General features: G+C 38.2%; 1 protein-coding gene and 2 pseudogenes across 17 annotated transcripts in view; 1 reads left to right on the forward strand and 2 right to left on the reverse strand.

Annotated features, from left to right (window-relative positions):
• The window catches only part of TASP1 (taspase 1), a 534161-nt gene that overhangs the window by 286068 nt on the left and 222264 nt on the right, over positions 1 to 25829 (reverse strand). The gene's annotated exons all lie outside the window — the stretch shown is intronic.
• GAPDHP2 (glyceraldehyde-3-phosphate dehydrogenase pseudogene 2) lies at positions 1775 to 3038 on the forward strand (annotated as a pseudogene).
• On the reverse strand, positions 15011 to 15231 carry MRPS36P6 (mitochondrial ribosomal protein S36 pseudogene 6; annotated as a pseudogene).

The following is a 25829-nucleotide window of genomic DNA, read 5'->3' on the forward strand; positions in this document are numbered from 1 at the left end:
AACAGAGTAACTAAGGATACTTAATTCATGTTTATATCCCAAATTTATTCCTTAAAGAATTTCAGTAGCTTACAAAAACTCAGATAATTCAATAGCCTAAAGTAGGAGAGGAAATGAGAAGAAAAATAAGAGCTTACAAAATAAGGTAAAGACGGAAGTGGGGCCAACGAAGAAATCTAAGCTGAGGAGTTTGGTACCCGTGCCAGAGGCAAGCCTGCTGCCCTGTCTCTCAGTTTCCTAGCAGCAGAGATCAGGTAGGTGGTTCATGTAGCATAAAGATCACAGCAAACCCACTGCTTGGATGAGAACAATTGTTCCTGGCACTGAGACCAAGGAGCCATTTCTCCTATAGTCTTTGTAAAGAGGGCACTGTGTTTAGTGACTGAGTGAAGACATCAGCTATACAACAGGGAGTTTTGTAGGGCTGAGTGTTACAACATCACTCAGAGGAGGCTGGGGCTGGAGGCTCCGGTAGAAGACAGTAAGCACTTCACTCTGTTTCATGAGGGGTCAGGATGAGGTCAGCCAAGAATTCCTCTTTTTGGTGATCTGGCTTAATCCAAGGATAGATAAATGTCTGGAATTTCTAAGAAGAAAGAGGGGCTGCATAAACTTCACGCAATCCTCTCTACTTGTTCTCTAAACGAGCTTTTCCTAAGTACTGAAACATGGTGAGTCTCATCAGAAGACAAGAACCTTGGTCTGAAAAAGTGTGAGCCAAGATGTGTTTGAAGCTTCCTGTGGAGATCTCAATGGGGCATCAAATCATATAAACAGTGGGAGCCGTTTAAGAAAATGTTTTATATGAGCTTATCTCCAGAGTTCTTTTTGAAAGAAGTGAGCTTAGGCCGGGCGTGGTGGCTCACGCTTGTAATCCCAGCACTTTGGGAGGCCGAGGCGGGCAGATCACGAGGTCAGGAGATAGAGACCATCCTGGCCAACATGGTGAAACCCTGTCTCTACTAAAAATGCAAAAAAATTAGCCAGGCGTGGTGGCAGGCGCCTGTAGTCCCAGCTACTTGGGAGGCTGAGGCAGGAGAATGGCATGAACCTGGGAGGTGGAGCTTGAAGTGAGCCGAGATCACGCCACTGCACTCGAGCCTGGGCGACAGAGCGAGACTCCGTCTCAAAAAAAAAAAAAAAAAGAAAGAAAGAAGTGAGCTTAAATTTCTCTTTAGCCTAAAAACAGACCACTTTCTGCAACAAACTTGGATGTCAGCATAAAAAATGCAATAAACTGTTTTACACTGAGCAAGTGTCCAAGGACTGTGTAGACTCTAGAGTATCCTACAAGCAGAAGAACTTAACAAAGTACCTTTACAATATTTAAATAGCAATGCATTTTTATTGGAATTTGGAACTAATGGGAAATAACACATTAAAATGATACATGAAAAAGCAGCAGACATCTATTTTGGGTCATCTCCCTCCACTCCTTGCTACATGCCCTGCTCATACATCTCTCTGTGATACCATGTCTCTGGCTTTTTCTCAAGGGAAGCCTTGACCAGGCACCCAACTCAACTTAGAAGTTCTTCTTTTAGCTCCTATAGCACCCATATGAGCATTTCTCATCCAGTCTTGGTTTTGAATCTTTAGGTTTCTGTAATTGAAAGTCGGTTTTGGGCAGAAGCTTTGTTACATACATCTCAGTTTCCCTGTACCTGACCATGTGTTTCACACAGAAGCATACTACTCCGGAAATGCTGAGTGGGTAAATGACTGAAATAGACCATTCTAGGGCTATGTTTATGTAAACATGCAGAATCTTAAGGCACCCTGCTCCTGCCATTCAAGAGACAGCCGCATCTTCTCATGCAGTGCTAGCCACATCCCTGGTGAAGGTGAAGGCCAAAGTAAAAAGATTTGGCAGTATCGGGCGCTGGTCACCAGGGCTGCTTTTAACTCTGGTAAAGCAGATGTTCTCACCATCAGTGACCCCTTCCTTGACCTCAACTACATAGTCTACATGTTCCCATATGATTCCACCCATGGCAAATCCCATGGCACCATCAAGGCTGAGAATGGGAAGCTTGTCATCAATGGAAATCCCATCAGCATCTTTCAGGAGTGAGATCCCACCAAAATCAAATGGGGCCATGCTGGTGCTGAGTACATTATGGAGCCCACCAGTATCTTCACGACCATGGAGAAGGCTGGAGCTCACTTGCAGCAGGGAGCCAAAAGGGTCATCATCTCTGCTGCCTCTGCTGAGGCCCCCATGTTTATATAGGCATGAACCATGAGAAGTATGACAACAGTCTCAAGATCGTCAGCAATGCCTCCTGTACCACCAACTGCTTAGCACCCCTGGCCAAAGCCATCTATGACAACTTTGGTATCATGGAAGGATTCATGACCACAGTCCACGCTATCACTGCCACCCAGAAGACTGTGGATGGCCCCTCCGGGAAACTGTGGCATGAGGGCTGTGTGGCTCTCCAGAACATCATCCCTGCATCTACTGGCACTGCCAAGGCTGTGGGCAAGGTCATCCCCGAGCTGAACAGGAAGCTCAATGGCATGGCCTTCCATGTCCCCATTGCCAATGTGTCAGTTATGGACCTGACCTACCGTCTGGAGAAACCTGCCAAATATGATGATATCAAGAAGGTGGTGAAGCAGGTGTCAGAGGGCCCCCTCAAGGGCATCCTGGACTACACTGAGCACCAGATTGTCTCCTCCAACAGTGATACCCACTCTTCCATCTTCCATGCTGGGGCTGGCAATGCCCTCAACAACCACCTTGTCAAGCTCATTTCCTGGTGTGACAACGAATTTGGCTACAGCAATATGGTGGTGGACCTCATGGCCCACATGGCCTCCAAGGAATAAGACCCCTGGACCACCAGCCCCAGCGACAGCATGAAAGGAAGAGAGAGGCCCTCAGCTGCTGGGAGTCCCTGCCCACACTCAGTCCCCTACCACACTGAGAATCTCCCCTCCTCACAATGTCCATGCAGACACCCTGAAGAGGGAGGGGCCTAGGGAGCCCCACCCTGTTGTATACCATGAATAAAGTCCCCTGCGCTCAGCCAAAAAAAAAAAGGTGTGGGGGGGAAAAGAATTTTAAGTGTTTTAACTGATATGACCAATCTGTTTGGCTGAAAAGTGAATCATACTAGTTTGCCATAGTAAAGATTAATCTTAGATTTTTTTGGACGGGCGTGGTGGCTCACGCCTGTAATCCTAGCACTTTGGGAGGCTGAGGCAGGCGGATCCCCCGAGGTCAGGAGTTCGAGACCAGCCTGGCCAACAGGGCGAAACCCCACCTCTACTAAAAATACAAAAAAAATTAGCTGGGTGTGGTGGTGCATGCCTGTAATCCCAGCTACTCCGGAGGCTGAGGCAGGAGAATCGCTTGAACCCAGGAGGCAGAGGTTGCAGTGAGCCAACCTCTCACTGCACTCCACTGCACTCCAGTGCAGTGAGCCAACCTCGTGCCACTGCACTACAGCACTCCCTCTCAAAAAAAAAAAAAAAAAAAAAGGCCTGGTGCGGTAGCTCACGCCTGTAATCCCAGCACTTTGGGAGGCCAAGGCGGGCGGATCACGAGGTCAGGAGTTTGAGACCATCCTGGCTAACATGGTGAAACCCCGTCTCTACTAAAAATACAAAAAAAATTAGCCGGACGTGGTGGCAGGCACCTGTAGTCCCAGCTATTCGGGAGGCTGAGGCTGGAGAATGGTGTGAACCCTGGAGGCGGAGCTTGCAGTAAGCCAAGATCGCGCCACTGCATTCCAGCCTGGGCGACAGAGCGAGACTCTATCTCAAAAAAAAAAGAAACTTTGTTTTTTTTTTAAAGTATAGACTAACTAAAATTTTCCACTTTCCAGTTGATGGCACTGTTAGAATAGAGATGGAGCTTTAGATTCTCAGATGCAAACAGCTCCACACCAATGGGATCCACTGGCCGTGTAGTTATAATTTGCCGCTTTCTTGCTAATTCCCTAAGAAGCACAGACAGATTCTTGAGGTTAACACCCCTTGAAAAACTATCAACTTATAAATTAAACTGACTGTTCAAAGCCAATATTAGGGCTATATCTTTTTATAAAACCAAATACAATGGATTAACAAATTTAGCTCGAAGATTTTAAAATAAGAAAATTAAGAGAAAAGTAATATAGAAAGTATATAATTGCCTGATAACCTAATCACAATCTAAGTAGTAGCTAAAATTTCCTGTCATTCATACTCAATGTTAAGATCTTCCAAGACCACCTTAGAAACTGCTCTTGTATGGTTTCTAGGAAAACTGCACACAACTTAATTTTAAAAGTCCTCTTCCAGAGAGAGATCATTGGAGGCATGAGCAACTTAAACAGCAGTCAAATGGGGGCCCTTGAGTCTTGTCCATTTGTTGTATAGTGCTGCATTAATAACATTCTGACAAATCCAGCACAAGGAGGAACATGAAAAACACTAGGGTAAAGTTGTTTGCATGGGCATTTTCCTTCCTGGAAAGCAGGACTCTAGCCTCCTGAGACAAGTGTGTTCAGCTCAATTTTATGTTACCACGTGCTTTTGAAGAAACAGATATCTGTTTCCACCACTTTCCCTTCTCCTGTTAATTCTTACTTATTTTTCAAATTGCTGAGTCATAGAAAACATCTAATTTTTCATGCACTAACAATGTCACATGAACTTTAATATAATCTGGAATACTGTGTATAGTTTATAGAATAAAAATCCATTTAACAACAAGTTAAGCTTCTCTTCTGTATTTATCACTACTTGGGCAATGTAAATATGGTATATGGTACTGTGAGACTGTATTGTGAACTGGGTAGTACCTTACATCCTTGCATTGTGAATTCTTGCCTGACATGATAATAGTCACCCTCAGCTTTCTTTTTTTTTTTTTTTTCTTTTTTCTTGAGACGCAGTCTCACTCTGTCACCCAGGCTGGAGTGCAGTGGCGCGATCTCAGCTCACTGCAACCTCCACCCACCAGGTTCAAGAGATTCTCCTGCCTCAGTCTCCTGGGTAGCTGGGACTATAGGCGCGTGCCACTACACCTGGCTAATTTTTTTTTTTTTTAGTAGAGATGGGGTTTCACCATGTTAGCCAGGATGGTCTCGATCTCCTGACCTCATGATCCGCCTGCCTTGGCCTCCCAAAGTGCTGATTACAGGCATGAGCCACTGCGCCCGGCCACCCTCAGCTGTCTTTTAGTGCCACAAACGTGATACACCTTAAATGACTAAGTCCAGAGAGAAAGGCAAGAGAAGGGCTGGGGAAGTGTGTCTGGTTGGTTTTTATTGCCTTGTTTCTATTGTGGGCTTTTACATTTTTTTCTCTCTTAATGAGTTGACTCAGGAGACACTGCCACCCACCCCTATCCTTTTCCCAGAAGTTCCCTACCCATCGCTTTTTAAGAGCTGTCTTTCAAAAAGACACAATTTGTGAATAACTATATTCTAAGCATTCTTTGTGTGCAGCATTAAACCTTGGAATGTAGTTAACTGCTCTAAAAATAGAGTTTGGTCGTCAGACTTCATCCTGAAAGCAGATGTACTCAACTAGCTGACAGTTTCACATGAACCTTCTTAATATAGTCTAGAATAATGTGTATATTTTATAGAATAAAAATCCATTAACTATGGGTGAAAAGATCTGGGTGCCCACTTACTAAGCCTGTGTGATATTGGACAACGGAAAATGAAGACTGGGTTAGATGGTCTCTAGAGCATCCTTTCAGAGTTTGGACAATCTCTGATGCTGACTTCATTTAGCTTGTGTATACATTGTTAATGAATCAAAAAAAAGTATTTACTTCTATTTTCTCATTGTCTTAAATTAAAAGTATTAAATAGGCCAGAGCAATTTGAAGATACAATTCCCGAGTTCAGCCAACCAATCAGAAATATCAACAGAATGAGAAAGGAATGCCATATGTTATTTATCTTACTGTGTGTCGCTCATACCTCATTCTCCACGTTGAAAACAAGGATGCCAGATGAAACACAAAGATGACATTCGGGTAAATTTCATTGTTAGCACTGAAACAGGGATATATACAGGGCAAAAAGTTCTATTGTTCTCACATACAAATATCATGTCTAAGGAGCCTTAAAATAAGATTAAAATGCTGTCTGATGAGAACAGCATATTCTTCCAGCCTACAGGCCACTTTGGTTCTTACTATCACCAGGCTCACTGACACCACACTTCAGTCAGAGGCAACATCAGACAAGAGTTCCCTCCTATTTTTAGGTTAAAAGCCCAGTGAAGATACTCACATAAACATGGCAAGCCCCACAGTAACTATTATTTCACCACTCACATGGAGAATTATCATGAATATTCCCTCTTGCTACAGGTGATAAAAGTGCTCCATTATTTAACAAATATTTATTCTGCAAGTTATTATGGGGGAACAGAAGAATGAAACATGGATCTCGCTCTAAGTGCAATTATGTCTTTGCAGGATGCAGAAACTAGTTCTTTGTGAAATCTTAACAATAAGTCCCTATATTTGCATAATGCTTTAGTTTCCATAGCACTTTTGCATCAATGAGATCCCTCAAAATACCATGTCAGACAGAAAGATGTATACTATACCTATTTTTTTCAGATGAAAAAAAAAATGAGACAGAATGATAATGTGGTTTGCTTATGGTCAGAGAGGAAGTGGAAAAATTGAGATGTGAATGAAAGCCTCTGAACTCCAAATTTAGGGCTATCTTGACTCCCCCTGAAGACTTACCATGAAGGAGGATTCTAAATCTGGCTCTGTTAAGAGACATGCCTTTAACTGCAGGAGGTTTTCAGGGTGAATCAGAGCTTGCTCAGGAAAGCTACTGGAACAAATCTTACCAACAAATTTCAAGATGATTCTGGGACTCAGAGAAATCGGTTTGAGCCTCAACTCTGCTGTTGATAGATTGGATAGTTTCTGGATCGGGAAATCACTGGCTCTCTGGGTTTCAATGTCTTTTTCGGTAAAAGTGAAAAACTTCAACTCAATTATATTCAGAGTTCTTTCTGATTTTGACATTCTACGGAGTTTTACTACTGAGGGTTTCCCTTCAGGTCTGTAAGGGGAGGCTATGGGTCACCATTTCCTTGGTCAAGACAGCCCAAGGGAACTGTCTTTTCCTCTTCATAGGGAACCTGGCCTCAACATCCTGATGATTTGTACTAGGTGAAACCCAAAATGTCATTTATGGTCTTCTGGTTGGTAAGCTGCCAGATAACATGAATCTTACTATAGTTTGAAAAGAGCATCTTCTATTTGAAAAGAAATGAAAGGCTAACACTTAAACTATCATTAAGAATGAGGCTACTCTCCATTTGTGTAATGGACAATTTCCTGAGAATCTCAGTTAATCTGTCAGTGAGGAATTTTGGAGGGGAAAAATACAAACCACCAACAACTGATTTGAAGAAAGTTCTCTTTGTCAAAATCTTGTGCTTCCTGACTTACTGATCCGACCCATGCCCCCAAAGAACTGTTAAGGCACGGAGACCCAGAAAGCAGCATTTCTCAAGCTGACTTCTGCTGGGTCCTGGCAGGTGCTCTCTCTTTAAAAAAAAAAAAGCGGGGGGCAGTGCGGGAGCATGGGCAAAAGCTGCAAGTGTATTGCTCCACCTTGTTCTACCCTTCTTAGAGCCAGACAGGCACATGAGCACAGAAAGGTTCAGACATCCTGCATTCAAAAGACCTGTGTGACTCTGTCAAAGTTAGTTCATCCCAAATGTCAAGGAATGCCTTCCTTTAATACTAGCTGTACCTGGAACTACTACAAAAAATATGCTGAAACTTTCCTTTTATTTTACTCCAAAACGTAACCTCACTTTCCTTTGCTGATTCTTCCTCATCTCCCCAGCAACTAAATGTTGGAATGTCCAAAGACTCAACAGTTAGACTACTTTTCTTCCACTCATTTTAAAGAAAAATGTCTATGAAGTGTTTTGGATATAAAGTGAAGCAGCTGGTTGCACTGGAAATTGAGGTAAGAATAATAACTCCATAGATCAACCTCCTCCTCCAGTCGCCACTCCATTTCTTTACTTCCATTTACAGCAAAGTTATTTGAAAGAGTTCTCTACACCTATTACCTCAAATTCTTTCCTTCCATTTTCTCTTTAAGCCCTCTATAATCAGCTTTTTGCTTTCACCTCTCCACCAAAACCCCTCTTTATCAAAATAAGAAATGACTTCCAATGCCAAATCCAATAGCCTGTCCTCAAATCTAATTTCACAAGGCCCAGCAGCAGCATCTGATAAAGTTGATCACCTGCTTCTCCTTGAAACACCCTTTTCCCTTGTTTTTTAGGACACCACTCTCACCTGGTTCTCCTCTGACCTCTATGATTATAACTTTTCAGTCTCCCTGGTTGCTTCCCCAACTTATAAGTACAAAATTTCCCCAGGAATCTTTTCTCCTGTCTGTGTTCACCTCCTTGGTGATCTCATCCAAATGTTTTTTAAAAAAATGTTTATATGCTGAGATTCCCTAATATGTATCTCCATCTTAGTCCTTTCTCCTAAACTCCAGACACACATATCCAGCTACCTTTTGGGCCTCCCCATTTGATGCCTAACAGGCATCTTGAAATTAACATGTCCAGAACTGAGTTTCTGCTACTTCCCCTCAAGTCTTTTCCCCCAACTTCACCTTCTTCCTCACCCTAGTAAATGGCAATTCTATTCTTCTGTTTAGGCCAAAATCTTAAGAGTCATCATTGCCTTTTCTATTTCCCTCATATCTCTATCCAACCCAACAGCAAATCCCATTGGCTCTATCTTAAAATACACACAGAAGCCAACTACTTCTCACCACCTGTGTGGATAATGCTCTAGTCCAAGTCATTATTATCACTCACCTCTATGGCAACAACCTTCCACCCGGCCTCCCTTTCAGCAGCTGGAGTCACCTCTTAAGATGTAAGTCAGTTCATATCATTCCACTGCTCATTACTCCCCAGTGGCTCCCATTTCAGGGGAAAAGCCCAAATACTGACCATGGATAAAAAACTATGTAATCTATCTGACCTTCCATTGCCTACTCTGACCCACTAAGACCGGCCTTCTCACTGTCCCTCCAACACACCAGGCACACTCCTACTTGAGAGTGTTTGCACCTGCTATTCCCTATGCCTGGAATGTTCTTGCCTTGCTCCCATAAATCCTCCAAGACTTTACTCGAATGACACCTTTGAAGTGAAACCTACCTAACGCTGGAATCCCTGTACCTCCTAACCCCTTCCCTAGCTTCACATCTCTTTTTAGCACTTATCACAAACATAGTATAGGCCTTACTTATCTTGTTCGTTATTTCCCCCACCAGTATGTAAGTCCTCAAGTACAGGGATTCTTGTCGCTTGGTTCACTATGATGTCCCCAGAAAAGTACCTCAATATAGAAGGCACTCAATGGTATTTAATAAATAATTCATTCAAAAAATGAGATACTGTGTTTTATCAAACTTTTACTCCTAAGTAAACTGAGGTTTTTTAATAGCTGAAATCTCAAGCCAAGTAATAAGGCTTCCGTCTTAGTCAGTCATTATTAGCTACTGTAATAACCCTAACTCTTAACTGTTCAAAATTTTACCATGATATTCACAAAAGCCATCAATGGAAGAAATCAAAGAATTATTGGGGTTCTAATCTGTTTTAGGAAGCACATTTAAAATAACATTAATTTTCTATTTCAAATGAAGAAAGATCTATTTCCAAGTACTCTGAGCATCTCCTACTAGTGAATTGTTAATATAACCCTCATCCTAAATTAAGTTTCATTTTATCGCTTCAACATTGCAGCAGACAGTGCAGTCCAAACATGTACAGTACAGTGATGACAGCTCAAGAGCATAAAAGCAAACTGTCAGTACCTACCACTTACTGCATCCAGAAGTATTTGAAAGAAATGTAAATAGAGAGAACAGCGCAACCATAGCCAAATGTCTCAATTAGTGAATACTAAAATGTTAAGTTTTCACAAATTTTCAGTATTGCTTTACTTACAGAACATAAAAGTCATACATTGTAACTATCACAAACAAATTCTAATCCTTAGGATTAAACAGAACAAGCACTCCAAGATGAAGACTTTTAAAAAAACATAAACTATATTATTTGGATGAATCATACTGGAATAAAAATGTATTCTAACAGATAGACTTGATTAGGGTTCAAAATCTACAACACGGGTTAGTCTCAAATGCCTGTGAAGCAGGTCAGGTGTAGGACTGTGGAAGTGAAGCGCCCAGGCTTCACCAAACAGGGCGGCTACCACCTGGCTCTAACCAATCACTGCCACATAGGAAGTGGGTCCCAGTGTTGCCAAATCATCTGCTCTTATAGGAGAAAACAATCCAGAACTTAAAAATCATATTTTAACATAAAATTTTAAATGTTTAAATCTGTGTAAAATTTTTCCATATAATTTGTATTTTATATATATTTAATTTTTTTCAAAGCTGCTATGATGAATACAGCTTTTGATCTTAAATCTGGAGATTACTGGGAAGAAAGGACAGTGGGAACAAAATGTTATATCTACGCACCATCCTAACTCAAAGTTCTACCCTAAAGCTCAACATGCAGTCACTCATTAAAGAGCTGTCCACCAAATGCCTACTATGTGTTGGGCCCTGTGTTGTCATTAGTACCTGCACATATAAGATATACCTAGTAGATTCCACATCTGTAACTCACCCATTTAATAAAATAATGTAATAAAAGTTGTTACATCATAAAATCAATGGGGGATTCTCAATATTTATAATCATAGAAACCAATATCTTTTCTCAAGTTAGTAAGTTAACATGAAATAACAATGACATGACCAAGATTATAGTTTTTGTCTTGAGACTGAAAAAACAAGAGAAAATTCCTTTCATCATTTGGCTACTGCTTCCCAACCAAAAAACAAAAACACCATAGATAATCATTACTCATTTCCTGTTCATAATAAAGTCAATCATTTTTAAGTACATTTGTCTCATTTACATGTCATGGTTATATGTCCTGTGAGCAAACAGCAGGCATGAGTCTGGCTGGGAAGATACATATTTATCTAAAATGTTGGGTACTAGAAGGTAACAAGGTGATATTCTAAGTTAGGTTCACATCTGTGACTGATAACTACATACGTATGTGGAGATAGAGAAATTAATGTTTTCATTACTTTTCATGTTGCTAAAATAAAGAAGTTCATCCACTTCATTTCTACTAACATGGAGGGTCTACAAGTCAAGTAATAGATTAAAATAGACATTTATCTTTGCAAAGATCTTACCCTACACCATGATTAAAATGAGAATAATTTGAATACATATTATTCGCACCTCTGGGAAGACTTATACTCTTAACAACACAGTAAATTCCCTCTTTGTTTTTCTATTTATTGCTTTGGAGCAATGTTGAATGAATCATTTGGAAGAAATTAATGATGTAAGACTAATTAGGCAAAAATAAAATTACCAACGACTGTTAGAAATTAACTTGAGGCTGAGGAAACTGTTTTTCATACATTCAATCTTCTGCAGTCTTTTCCTGTTTGTGCAAATGACTTTCTAAATAGACCCAATGGGATCATCCTGGCAGCCCTAAGAGCATGAAAAAGAAACACAAGTTTCTACATTTCAAATTCTGGGCAAACTTAAAAGGTACAAGTAAAATCAGTGATTAGCCACTTTTCCTGTGGTTTATAAGTGCACTTGCCAAACTTGGCTGTCTCGGATGTTTTCTTAGTATATAGGTTTATTGGTGGCGCCTCAACTACCATCCCGAGGCAGTTGGCTTCCCGCCAGGGATCAGATGCCTTTAGTTGTTGGATAATATAAGAACTAGATTATCAAAAGCAGTTAAAATTTGGTTAAGACTAAGGCCAATTTGTATCTAGGTGTTTCCTGTCAAATCTAAAATATGGTCCAATAAATCTATTTAGCTGGATACATCCATTCAATGACTAAATGCCATTGGCCACTATTGTGAAATGGAAGTCTCTTTTAAGGGATTCATGGTCAATACATCCTGTAGGTGTTCCACTGCCCAGTGCTCAGTGGAATACAAGAAGATTGCCTGTAATCAAGGTTCACACAAGAGAAATTTAACACAGCTAGTAAGGAATATTCTCCCTTCTTCTTTCAAAAGGAAAATTACCTGGATGGGTGAGCTTAAAAGAAATGCTGAAGGCACACCTTAGGTTTGATTTAAAAACCTAAGTTGTGGCGCTGTCAAAGTGGTAGACCTCTATCAGATAGTTTTTAGAAAGAGCTCCTTTGCCACCATTTTGGCTTGAATTGCAGGGTTCAGGGAGGAGTGTCTTTTCTTGTAGCTTCCAACAATTTTTTTTTCCTGTTCTGGGAACTCTGAATTCACTTACCAGCTGGCTTATTAACTTATTAACATTAACTTATTAACTTATTAACATTAACTTGCAAGTTAGAGTTGCATTTTGTCAAAATGTAATAACCATTACCATTTCCACCAAAGGAGCACGGTGAAAATTCAGGTGGCATCACTCTTGTCATAGTCAATATAAATGCCACCTTTGGGAGCATAACTGCAGTGTAAATGGGGCCTGTGGAGCTGTGGTGTGATGGTCCTGAGAAATTCCCTGCAACTTCCACCATCACCTCCTTCCTCCACCACTACTGCTGCCACCACCACCCATCATAACAAATGCAGCATCTATTACATGCACTTCATTTTTATTATTCAACTAATTTTCAGAATTCTATCAAAGCATCAATAGATGAGGAAACTAAGGATCAAAGTTGTAACTTGCCCCGGCTTATAAAGCAGGGACTCCAGGATTGAAATCCAAGTCTGACTAATTCTAAAGCCCATGCTGTCAATCATTACATGCCTCTTTAAAGACAATCTTACCTGGGGAACATAGCAAGACCCTGTCTTGACAAGAAATAAAATAAAAATTAGCCAGGTGAGGTGTGCCCCTGCAGTCCTAGTTACTAGGGAGGCTGAGGCTGGAGGATCTCTTGAACCCAGGAATTTGAGGTTACAGTGAGCCATAATCGGGTCACTGCACTCCAGCCTGGATGACAGAGCAAGAGCCTATCTCGTAAAAAACAAAAACAAAAACCCAGATAGTCTAGCTAATATCATTTTTAAGACTTTCAAAAAACAGAGGTATGATTTTACACACAATAAAGTGCATAGATGTTCAGTAAAGGGTTTGATGATTTTTAATGATTTGTATCCCCATGAAACCAAATCCTAAGGAGAATATTTTCCACACAGGACATTTCTATTACTGCCCCCAAATTCCCTCATGCCCTTTTCCTGAAGCAATCACTTTCTGATTTCTATCACCATAGCTTAGTTGGGCCAGTTATTAAACTTCATATAAATAGAATAATTCACTTAGTACTCTTTCATGTCTGGCTTTGTTCACTCAACATAACTTTGTGAACAAAGTTAAAGTTATGTAGGAAAATTATTTAGCTTTGTGAGGGTTTACCCTTGGCCCAAGAAGATCTTATTAAAGTTTTATAAAAAGGCCAGGTGTGCAGTGGCTCACACTTGTAATCTCAGTGCTTTGGGAGGCCGAGGCGGGAGTATTGCTTGAGGCCAACAGTTTGAGATTACGCCAGCCTGGGCAACATAGCAAGACCTCATCTCTACAAAACATTTAAAAATTAGCCAGGCCTGGTGGTGTACCTATAGTCTTAGCTACTTGGGGAGCTGATGCAAGAGGATCGTTTGAGCCCAGGAATTTGAGGTTACAGTGAGCTATGATTGTGCCACTGCACTCCAAGTGGGTGATACAGTGAGATCCTGTCTCTAAAGTAAGTAAGTAAATAAATAAATTGCATTATTTAGGTAAATAGGATGATTTTATGAGGTTTTCAGACATTAAAGCTGACAAAAGTTAATAGTCATCACATCAAGATTTACATACATAATCACATTCAAAATGATTAAGAATAAAAGAAAAATATCTCAAATAAATTGCAATTTCTAGTCAAACACCTATTTCTATATCAATTTTGATTTCTTAATTTATCTTTCATTTACATTTTTTTCTGAATCTCTGTTCAGAAATAATCCTTTGTTACACATAAAAAATATTTTTAGCACAAATAATCCTTTGTGTTATTGCCCTAGTCTTAATACCACAAAGCCACCTGTTTTACCTTGGTTATATTTTTATCTTTAAGAGCCAGATACACTTATTTAGTCAGTTATACCCCAATAACCTTGTGAATAAAAAATTTGAGAATTAAAAACAAATAAGGGTGTTCTTATTTCACCAATCCTCACCTAATTTTAGAAAAATCACTTCCCTAAAGCAGCAACTTCGCCTGAAAAATTCTTTATATCCCTAAACAGACTGAAAGAAAAGTGAGATTATGAGAAACCTATGACAGTTTACTAGATATTGTGTGCTTTTAGTAGTTTAACACTGGTAATACTTGAAGGCCAAGAGTAAATAGGATAACATTTTAAAATGTATACTTAATTAAAGTTTAAAGTACGTAAGCAGTTAGGTAAGCTTGTGAAGAAGCTGACCAAAATACATACATCAGGAGATACAAGTGTCCATTTAAATTTCCTCTTTCATTTTTTTAAAAGAATATTTTATTAAGGTTGTTGAATGTATAATTTCTCATTTTAGAAATCTTTCTTGTAAAGACAATTCTTTCATCTGACGACAAACAGCATCCACACTGCTGGTGATTATTCTGGCCCTCCACATTGAATAAAATTTGGTTTATTTAATTTAATTAATTAAGTTATTTTTGAGATGGAGTCTCCCTCTGTTGCCCAGGCTGGGGTGCAGTGGCGTGATCTCGGCTCACTGCAACCTCCGCCTCCTGGGTTCAAGTGATTCTCCTGCCTCAGCCTCCCGAGCAGCTGGGACTACAGGTGTGTGCCACCATGCCCAGCTAATTTTTTTTTTTTTTTTGTATTTTTAGTAGAGACGGGATTCCACCATGTTAGCCAGGATAGTCTTGATCTCCTGACCTTGTGATCTGCCCGCCTCAGCCTCCGAAAGTGCTGAGATTACAGGCATGAGCCACCATGCCCAGCCAGTTTCCTCCTGAGACACAAATTTCCGTCTATAATTCTGAGACAATATTTAATAATTTCTGCAGTGTCTGGTGGACCCTGCTGCATCAACCAATCTGGCAATTCCCTTCCCTCAGAATGCTGTGAAACTGCAGAGCTGGACGGTATTCCTGCTGATTCCAAAGCTGATTCATTGATTTTTAGGGTTGCCTCTTCTGTGGAGGAACACTGCCTTGATTATAGTAGCTTAACAGTAGGTCTTAAAGTCTGGTACTGTAAGTCCTCTAACTCTGATCTTTTTTAAAGTTGATTTTTGCAGTTCTAGGTCCTTTAAATTCCCACACAAATTATAAAACCAACTTGTCAATTTCTTATTTAAAAATGTCTGCTGGAATTTTTATTGAGATTGCTTTGAATCTATAGCTGAATGTGGAAAGAATGGCTATCTTACTGTGTTTTCCAATCCATGAATATGGCATGTTTCTCTATTTAGATTGTCTTTTATTTCTCTCAGCAAGGTTTTATAGTTTTCAGGGAACACGTCTTGCACATCATTCGTTAGATTCATTTCATGTCCTCTGAGAATAACTATGGCTTTTACTATTTCTTTTCCAAGTTTTATCTTTTATTTGCTTTATTGTACTAGTGGAGCATCCAATAAAATACTGAATAGAAGTGATGAGTGGATGCCCTCTTTGTCTGTTGTCAGTGTTAGAAAGAAAGTGTTCAGTGTTTCACCAATTAGTATGATTTTAGCTGTAGGTTTTTGATAGATGACGCCCTTAATCACATTGAGGAATTTTCCTTGGATATCTCATATTTTGAGGGTTTTTTCTTTTTTTTTTTTTTTTTTGAGACAGTCTCACTCTGTCACCCAGGCTGGAGTGCAGTGGTGTGATCTCTGCTCACTACAAGCTCTGCCTCCCAGGTTCACGCCATTCTCCTGCCTCAGCCTCCCGAGTAGCTGGGACTACAGGCGCCCGCCACCATGCCTGGCTAATTTTTTGTATTTTTAGTAGAGACAGGGTTTCACTATGTTAGCCAGGATGGTCTCGAGCTCCTGACCTGGTGATCTGCCCGCCTTGGCCTCCCAAAGTGCTGGGATTACAGGCATTAGCCACCGTGCCCGGCTATTTTGAGGTTTTTATCATTCATGCAAGTTGAGATGATCATATGGAATCAAGAGGAACATATGGGTTTTCTCCTTTATTTTGGTAACAGAGTAAATTATATCAATTAACATTTTTAACAGCTTTACTGAGATATAATTCATATATCAGAAAATTCATCCACTTAAATAACTTTTCAATTCAGTAGTTTTTAATATATTTGCAAAATGTGCAATGTTCTAATTCCAGAAAATTTTCGTCACCACTAAAAGAAACCCTGTGCCCATTAGCACTCACTCCCCATTCCCTTACCTCTACCACTAATCTACCTTATCTCTATGGATTTTCCTATTCTGGACATTTCATATAAACAAAATCATACACTATGTGGCCATTAGTGTCTGGCTTCTTTTACCTAGAATAATGTTTTCAAGGTTCATCCAAGCTACAGTATATATCTGCACTTCATTCCTTTTTACAGCTGAAAATATTCCATTGTATGAATATTTCACATTTTGCTGATCCATTCATCAGTTGATGGGCATTTGGATTGTTTCTTCTTTTTTTGCTGTTATGAATAATGCTGCTATAAGTATCTATGCACAAGTTTTCATGTGGACCTATCTTTTCATTTTCTTGGGCATATACCTAGAAATGGAATTGCTGGGTCACATGGTAACTCTATGTTTAACTTTTTGAGGAACTGCCAAACTGTTGTCCAAAGTAGCAGCACCATTTTTACATTCCTATCAGTGATATATGAGGGTTCCAATTTCTCCACATCCTCACCAAGACTTGTTAATATTCACAATTTTTATCATAGCCATCTTGTTGGATGTGAAGTGGTATCTACTTGTGGTTGTCATCTGCATTTCACTAATGACTACTGATGTTGAGCATCTTTTCCTGTACTTACTGGCTATTTGTATATCGTCTTTAGAAAAATGTCTACTCAGATCTCATGCCCATTTTATGCCTTCTTATTGTTCAGTTGTAAGAGTTCTATATATGTTCTGGTACAAGCTCCTCACCAATTACATGATTTGCAAATATTTTTTCCTATTTTGTGGGCTTTTTTTACTTTCTTGATGTTATCCTTTGAAGCATAAAAGTTTTAAATTTTTATGATGACCTATTTATTTTTTCTTTTGTTGCCTGTGCTTTTGGAATCATATCTAAGAAATAACTGCATAATCCAAGGACAGAAAGATTTACTCCTAAGTCCTCCTAAGAAATTCATAGTTTTAGCTCTTAATATTTTGGTTCCTGATAAATTTTGAGTTAGTTTTTATATATGGGATAAAGGGTCCAACTTCATTATTTTACATGTGGATATCCTTATGTTCCAGGATCATTTGTTGGCAATGACTGACTTTTGAAATGTTAAGTCAACTGTGCATTCCTTGGAAAAACCTTATTTGGTGTCCACGGGCAATAATACTGCTGGATTTTTCATTCCAAAGTAATAACTTATTAAGCATCTCCGCATATATATTCATGACAGCTATTGGTCTGTAGTTTTCCTTCCTTGTAACATCTTTGTCAAATACTGAGGTTACCCTTGTCTCATAAAATGGGTTGGAAAACAATCCCTCTGCTTTGTTTTTCTGAAAGAAATGGCATAAGATTAATGTTATTTCTTCCTGAAATGTCTGATATAAAATGCCAGTGATGCCATCTGGGCATAAAGTTTACTTTATGAGAATGTTTTGCTTATAGAAATTCAATTTCTTAAATATGTAAATGGTTATTTAAAATTTTTTGTGTTTAGTTTGTTAAGTTGGTTTTCTTCAACAAATTAATAAATTTCATCCAGTTGCTGCCTCTGTTGAAATAAAGTTAGCCACTTAATGCCTACAGAATCGGTGAATGCATTACTATTTCCTTTTCATTCTTGCTATTGGTAATTTGTGGGTTTCTTTCTTTCTTTCCTAATCATTCTTTCTAAAGTTTTATCAATTTCACTAATTTTTTTTCAAAGAACTTCGTCTAGCTTTGTTTTTCTCCATTTTAAAATTTCTTTTCTATGTTACTGCTTGCATTCTTATTTTGATTATTTTCTATCTATTCTTCTTAAAGCTTCTTAAGATGATAGCTTAACTCATTTATTTTAAACTTTCTTTTCTACCATAAGTATTTAAGGACATACTTTTCCTTTTAATGTTTTAATTGCATCCTATAAATTCTGATATATTGTTTTAATTATCATTCAGTTGAAAATAATTGTCAGCTTCTCTTGGTAAATACTCCTTATGAACTTGAAAATAATAACTTGTTGAATGTAATGTTCTATAAATACCACTTTGGTCAAGTTGGGTCTATTATTCATATCCTTACTAATTTTTATTCAAGTCATTTACTATTGTATGTCTTATTTCATACTGAGAGAAAGAAGGATGTTAAAGTTTCCAACTATGACTACAGATTTGTCTATTACTCCTTTTATTACTGTCAATTTTTGTTTCTTTTACTAGGCACATATACATTTAGACGTTTTATACCTTTTTAATTGAATGGACCACATTTTCAATATGAAATGTCCTGTTTTATCTCATATCTCCTATGTCTGACACTAATATAGCCATACCAGCTTTCATTTTTGAAAATTATTTTATTTCTAATTTTTATCTCATTTAACTTTTTCTATTATTTTTCATCCTTCCTGGGTTTGAAATTATCTTTTAAATGATGTGAATATACTCAATATCAGTTATTTTATGTTTTTATTTTTTTCAACTGACATACTAATCATTTTATTGACACATAATATTTTACATATGTATGGGATACATGTGATACTTTGTTTCATGCACAGAATGTGTTATGATCAAGTCAGGGTATTTGGGGTATCCATCACCTTGAGTATTTATCATTTCTATACATATTGGGAAAATTTCAAGTTCTATCTTCTAGCTACTGGAAATATATAATACATTGTGGTTAACTATAGTCAACTTACTCTATCAAAAATTAGAACTCATACTTTCTATCTAACTGTACCCATTGACCGACCTCTCTTCATTCCCTCCTCCCACTCACACACCTTTCCAAGTCTCTGGTATTTATCACTGTACTCTCTATCTCCATGAGATCAGCATGTTTGAGCTCTCACACGTAAGTGAGAACATGCTAAAGTTGTCTTTCTGTGCCTGCCTTACTTCACTTAACATAATGACCTCCACTTCAATCCATGCTGTTGCAAATGACATGATTTCATTCTTTAATATGCCCAATAGTATTCCATTGTGTATACAGACTACATTTTCTTGATCCATTCATCTGTTCATATATTTTTAGGTTGATTCTATATACTTGCTATTGTGAGTAGTGCTGCAATGAACATGCAAGTACAGCACAGGTATCCCTTTGATGTACTGACGTCCTTTTCTTTGGATAAATACCCAGTAGTAGAAAGGTTGGATTGCATGGTAGTCCTATTTTCAGTTTTTTGAGAAATCTCCATATTGTTTCCCATAGTGGCTGTATGAATTTACATTTCTACCAACAGTGTATGAGTTTCGTTTTTTCTGCATCCTCACCAGGACCTGCTATATTTTGTCTTTTTAATAACTGCTATTCCAAGTGGGGTAAGATAATATCTCACTGTGTTTATGATTTGCATTTCCCTGATGATTACTGACGTTGAGCATTTTGTCACATGTCTGTTGGCCATTTGTATGTCTTCTTTTGAGAGGTATCTACTCATGTCTTTTGGCTACTTTTTAATGGGATCTTTTTTTTTAAACATTGAGTTGTTTGAGTTCTTGTATATTCTGATTATTAGTCCTCTGTCAGAAGAAAAGTTTGCAAATATTTTCTCCCATTCAACTGGTTGTCTGCTCATTCTGTCAATTGTTTCCATTCCTGTGAAGCAGCTCTTTAGTTTAATAAGAGTCCTATTTGTCTCTTTTGGGATTTTTTGTCTGTGCTTTTGAGGTCCTGGCCACAAAAATCTTTGCCTAAACCAATGTCCTGAAGTATTTTCCCTATGTTTTCTTCTAGTAGTTTTATAGTTTGGGGCCTTACATTTAAGATTTTAATCAATCTTGAATGGATTTTTATATATGAAGAGAGTCAGGCATTCAGTTTCATTCTTCTGCATATGAATATCTAATTTTCCCAGCAGCATTTATTGAAGAGGGCGTCCCTTCCCCAATGTACGTTCTTAGAGCCTTTGTGAAAAATCAGTTGGCTATAAAGGTATGGATTTCTGGATTCTCTACTCTGTTCTATTGGTCTATATGCCTGTTTTTATCATAATGTTTTGGTTACTATAGGTTTGCAAGGTATTCTGAAGTCAAGTAGTGTGAAGTATTCAGCTTTGTTCTTTTTGCCAAGGATTGCGTTGGCTATTTGGGCTCTTTTGGGGTTCCATATAAATGTTAGGATTGTCTTTTCTATTACTGTGGAAAATATCATTGGTATTTGGTCAATAGGATTGTTTTAAAGATACTAATTCTTCTGATCCATGAGCATGGGATGTCTTTCCATTTGTCTGTGTCCTCTTCAATTACTTTTATCAGTGTTTTGTAGCCTTCCTAGTACAGGTCTTTCATCTCCTTGGTTAAATTTATTACTAGGTATTTCTTTTTAGCTATTGTAAATGGTGTTGCCTTCTTGATTTCTTTCTCCAGGCAGTTCATCATTGGTGTATAAAAATGCTACTAATTTTTACGTGTTGATTTTGTATCCTGGATCAGGAATTTCCCTTAAGCAAGGTTTGGGATCTGAGCCCAGGTGAAACTCTAGAGAATTCTCCATTCTTATAGTCCAGGCACCAGCATTCTAACCACGGGAGACTTCTCTTTGTTTATAGGCAAGCCGTCAGCTTTCCATGTTGCTAAGGTGTTCGTTTTGCTCTTTGTAACCTCCTCCAGATTTCTGTGTCATGGAATATTTCTTCACTCTCTTACCCTGGCACTAGGCTTCTGTACAACACTGCCTGGCCCTTGATGAAGGCCCTGTACATGTTGGGAGCAGGAGAGGTTTTTTAAAATCTCTTTTGCTTTAATCCAGCCTTCTGTTGCAACTGTGTTGCACTTGATAAAGGACCACTATGCTTCCGAGTTGTCTTGCGGCTCTCTTGCTATGCCTCTAGTCTTTCTCTGGCCACTGCCATGTATTTGGTGAAAATCTTATGCACCTTAATGAATCACTCACAATTCTTTGCTCTGCTCCAAGCTTTGGTGTGTTGCCACTTGATGAAGGCCTCACAGAGAAAAACTGGCGGTGGGTATAAGCTCTCTGTGAATGGAGTGTCTCAGGATTTTAATCTGTCACACCAGCTCACACACGGCCATAAAGATTTCATTAAAAATTTGGCTGATTTGTCTTTATATACCTCTGTGTTGAGTTTGACTCCTCCTCCTGCTGCTCTGCCAGGGAATAAAGCAATCAGAGGTTTTTGTCTCCTAGGAAGGGCTTGTCTCTTTCTGGAATTTAGTTTACTTAGGTTTTTCTCTACCTAATAACTTCTCTGGATACTTTTTAAAAATTTATGATTCTATAGATTATGCAGCTCATTCACATAGTTGGGAGTAGAAGCAACAGTCTCTTGTAACTTTCTTCATTCTAATTAGAAGTGGAGTTTCTTTGCACTTCTTTTGATAACCCCCCCTTGTGTACATCATGTTTTATACTTAAGTCTCCCTCCTATGGCTTTATGTGAGAGGTAAGTTTTAAGCCTAGGAAAAAGCACTCAGAAATCTCATCTCTGCTATCCTTTGTAAATATACATTCACTAAGTTTTTTTTAAAGACCTGGAAACCATCTTCATGAAGATAAAACATGTTAGAACACAGTAGGTACTATATTGGTATTACAAAAATCCTACTGAAAATTAAGTGGCAACATATTTGTTTATGTAATCTGGAATGTTGAATTTGGAATTCTGCAGATTGGAAGCAACAACAAGGACTTAATGGGGTCTAGTCATCTGTATTGAGACAGATAAGGTTTTGCTTCCTCGTTCTTATCATATCATATCACAGGAAAGGCTTAAGGCAAGGTAAGGATTTCTTATTCTCATATTACAGATGAGGCCTCTGGGATCCAGAGGCAGAGTGATCAAACCACAGCTCACAGTGTGCATGGAGTGGGAGGGCAACCCAGGCTCCAACTTCCTGGCACTGCACCCATCCCAATACTTATTTATTTTAACTGCATGGCCCAAAGAACTAGTCAGATGTGCCAAGAACAGAAATCCTGGCACGACCTCATGAGGTTTCGAAGACTTCATGGCATTAAAATAGAAAATGTTAAAAACAAAATGTAAATATCATTGAGTTACCACCCAGTGCCCTGTGCTTTCCCTAGGTGAGGGAAATATGGTATGGGCAACATCTGTCCTGTTTCATTACCATGTGTCAGAGTATGACACAGGGTTTGTCACACAAGGCAGAGAAACATCACAAATAAATATTTGTTGAGTAAATTTTTTTTTTTAAGAAAAGCTGAGTAATATAACAAAAAACATCCCAAGAGGACAGCACCTTGATTATGAAAAAGCTTAGTCTCTCTTAGATCCCACTGGAAAACAAGGAACTATCATAGAAATATTTTGCAAAATATTTGTAATGGGATGTGTTATCTGAATTTTGGTCATTCTAGTCAGGAATTCAAAATGAGAAAAAGGCAATAGTTTGGGGGAATGTAATCATTCATCCAATGCAGACTTGGTTATAAACCAAGGGTGATATTTTTTGAACTGCATCATTTCAAGTACAAGACCCAAAGAACTAATCAAATGTGCCACAAGACCCAAGAGTGACATTTAAAAAATTTTTAATTTGAAAATAATTTAAGAATTACACAATCGTTCCGGGAAGATCTATACATCCTTTACCAAGGTTCACCTACTGTTAACATTTTGCTCCATTTGCTTTGCAATTTGCTGTTGCTCTATCCATCCATTCATCCACATAATATATTTTTCTGACCCACTGAGAAAATATTGTCCATATTATGGCCCTTTACCCCTAGATGCATTAGTGTGTATTTCATAAGAATAAAAATATTATACACCACAGTACAGTAATCAACTTCAGTAAGTTTAACCATGATAAAACACTTTTTACTAACCATATTCCAATTTTGTAAATTGACCTAATAATGCATTTATAGCATTTTTCTGATATAGGATCTAGTCTAGGACCAGTTACTGCATTTAGTTGTCACATCTCTTTAGAATTATTTCCTCTGGAACATTTCTGCAGCCTGTCTTTTATGACATTGACATTATTGAAGAACACGTTTCTTTCTTTCTTTCTTCACAGAATGTTCCTCATTTTAAATGTGTCTGATGTTTCTTCACAGTTAGGTTCAGGTTATACATTTCCAGATGGAATACTACACAAGTGATACTGTATCCTCAAGTTATCATAGCCAGAGGCACATATTGTCCATCTGCCCCTCATTGGTGGTATTAATTCTGATCACATGGTCAAGGTGTTGCCTGGTTTCTCCATTATATAGTTATTATTTTTCCCTGCAACTAATAAGAAGTCTGTGGAGAGACACTTAAAGACTATAAAATAGTCTGCTCCTCCTCAAGGAAATTTTTATAACAGTATTTTCACTGTGGTTATAAAAAGTGACCTCTACATAATAAAAGAAACCTAATTTCATGTATTATAGCTGAATAAGTTCCATGCCAGTTTTAACACCTGTTTCTATTACAGTAGTCCATGCACACTGGGTGTTTATTAAAAACTCTTCATTAACTGTCTGCTATCTGGGTAGGATACGGACAATCTGTTTTTAAAATCCAACTGGTACTGATGCCCTAATTTTGGCTCCTTAAAAATAAATCTTTATCTTATGTTATCAAAGCAGTTTAGAAATTAAATTAAATGATTTAATTGCAAGAACATTCTTTAAAAAAAAAAGACTTGTAAAAGAACCTACCTCTATTTATTCAAATTATACATGCATTCTGGTTACAATGATACTGATTATTATCCAGCCTTTTCTACGCAATATGATTTTTAGCTAAGCTTTAATTCAAGGCTTTAACTTGGGATTAAACACAACTAGCTCATATATGTTCAAATGGCCAGGTGGCCTCAGTTTCTGAGTTTGGTAACAAGCAGAAGGAAGACAATTTTTGAAAACAAGGGCACAAGTGTTTTAACTTTTAAAAATAGTTTTTAAATTTTAAATATTTTAAGATGCCTTCTTACTCATTTCGCTACCACGGCTCTCAACATTATGGAGGAACATGTTTCGGAAACCAGTCATGATGCTGAACAGGTATGCCACTAGTTAGTTCAACTATTCTTTTATAGAAGTCAGGAAACCAGAGGGAGAGGAAGGTCCAAAGCTTAAACAGAATACAAACATTGTTATAGCCCCTTTTCTCTTTTGAGCTCAGCCTCTCATCTATAACTTTGTCTTACTTGCAATACAAAAAAATTCTAGCATTTATAACAAAAGAGATAATTTTTCTTTTTGATCAATAAAATTCCGCAGCCAAATCATTAGTGTTTTTGTTTTGGGGTTTTCTTTTTTTTTTTTTTTTTCCTTGAAAGTATTTGTAGTCACAGGCTCAAAGGAGAAAGGAAGGAAGAGGGATTAACTCTCCTCAAGGAAGGTCAAAAACATAATTTACAAGAGAGGCAAGAGGACCAGCTGTATCTGCTGGCCCAATTGACTACCAGCTGGAGAATTTACCAGCAATAAGAAAACCATGTCTACCAGATGTCAAGCAATATAACTGGAGGCCAAATATCTTCGGGCTCATAGCAGGACTCTACACTCTTTCCTACCTATATTTCACATTAAATAGTAAGGTGTCTTTCACGGGCCACCAGCAAGGATAACAAAAAATTTCCACACAAGGGACTTAATAACATAATCATACCCCATCAGACTGGCTTCAGTGCTGACGTCCACCTCAAACATGCTCTTTTGTTAAAAAGCAATCTTAGTTCTGAATCAATATTAAGGGGACAGAGAAACTGAAATGGCTTCAAGCTACTGTTAGGCAAGGATTCTTGGGGTTTATCAGGCTTGTTTTATGTATGGGAACTGTTTTGTCACTGAGAAGAAATGAATCTGAAAATATGAATAATCATTTTCATACTTATTCATTAAACCTGTGCTGTTCAATATGGTAGCCACGAGCCACATGTGGCTATTTAAATTTAAATTAAGTAAAATTTAAAATTCAGCTCCTCCATCAAACTAGCCACATTTAAGTGCTCAATAACCACATGTGGCTAGTAGCTTCCCTGTTGGAAAACAGAGATATAAAATGTTTACATCACACAAAATTCTATTAGACAGTGCTGTTCTAAACCCTTAAATCACCTTTAAAATGGACAATTATATTTCCATTCTATATAAATTATGAAATAAAGCAATATTTTATGTATTCTCTTAGGAAACAGGTCTACTAACACAATAGGAATATTGTACCAGATGAAGGTGAAGCAAAGGGGGAGGGTGGATCTCAGCAAAATTTTCACAATATAAGTCAATCCTTGTCTGAATAAATGTTCTTTACACTACTCACAAAAGTTCTGTGGAGCTACAGGCTGGCTGGATAATATACAAAGGATAGTCAGGATAGGTATTACATGACAAATAAGCAATAAAGTGTTCTTTATTATATTTATCCTTTATGATTCAATCTGTAACAGACTGCTCATATCAGAAGTTTTCCTATTTTATATGTCAAAATGTGCAAAATAAATCATTTCTTTTAAAAACAATGCTGCACAACTT

This window comes from Homo sapiens, chromosome 20 (genome assembly GCF_000001405.40).
Source record: "Homo sapiens chromosome 20, GRCh38.p14 Primary Assembly".
NCBI lineage: Eukaryota > Metazoa > Chordata > Mammalia > Primates > Hominidae > Homo > Homo sapiens.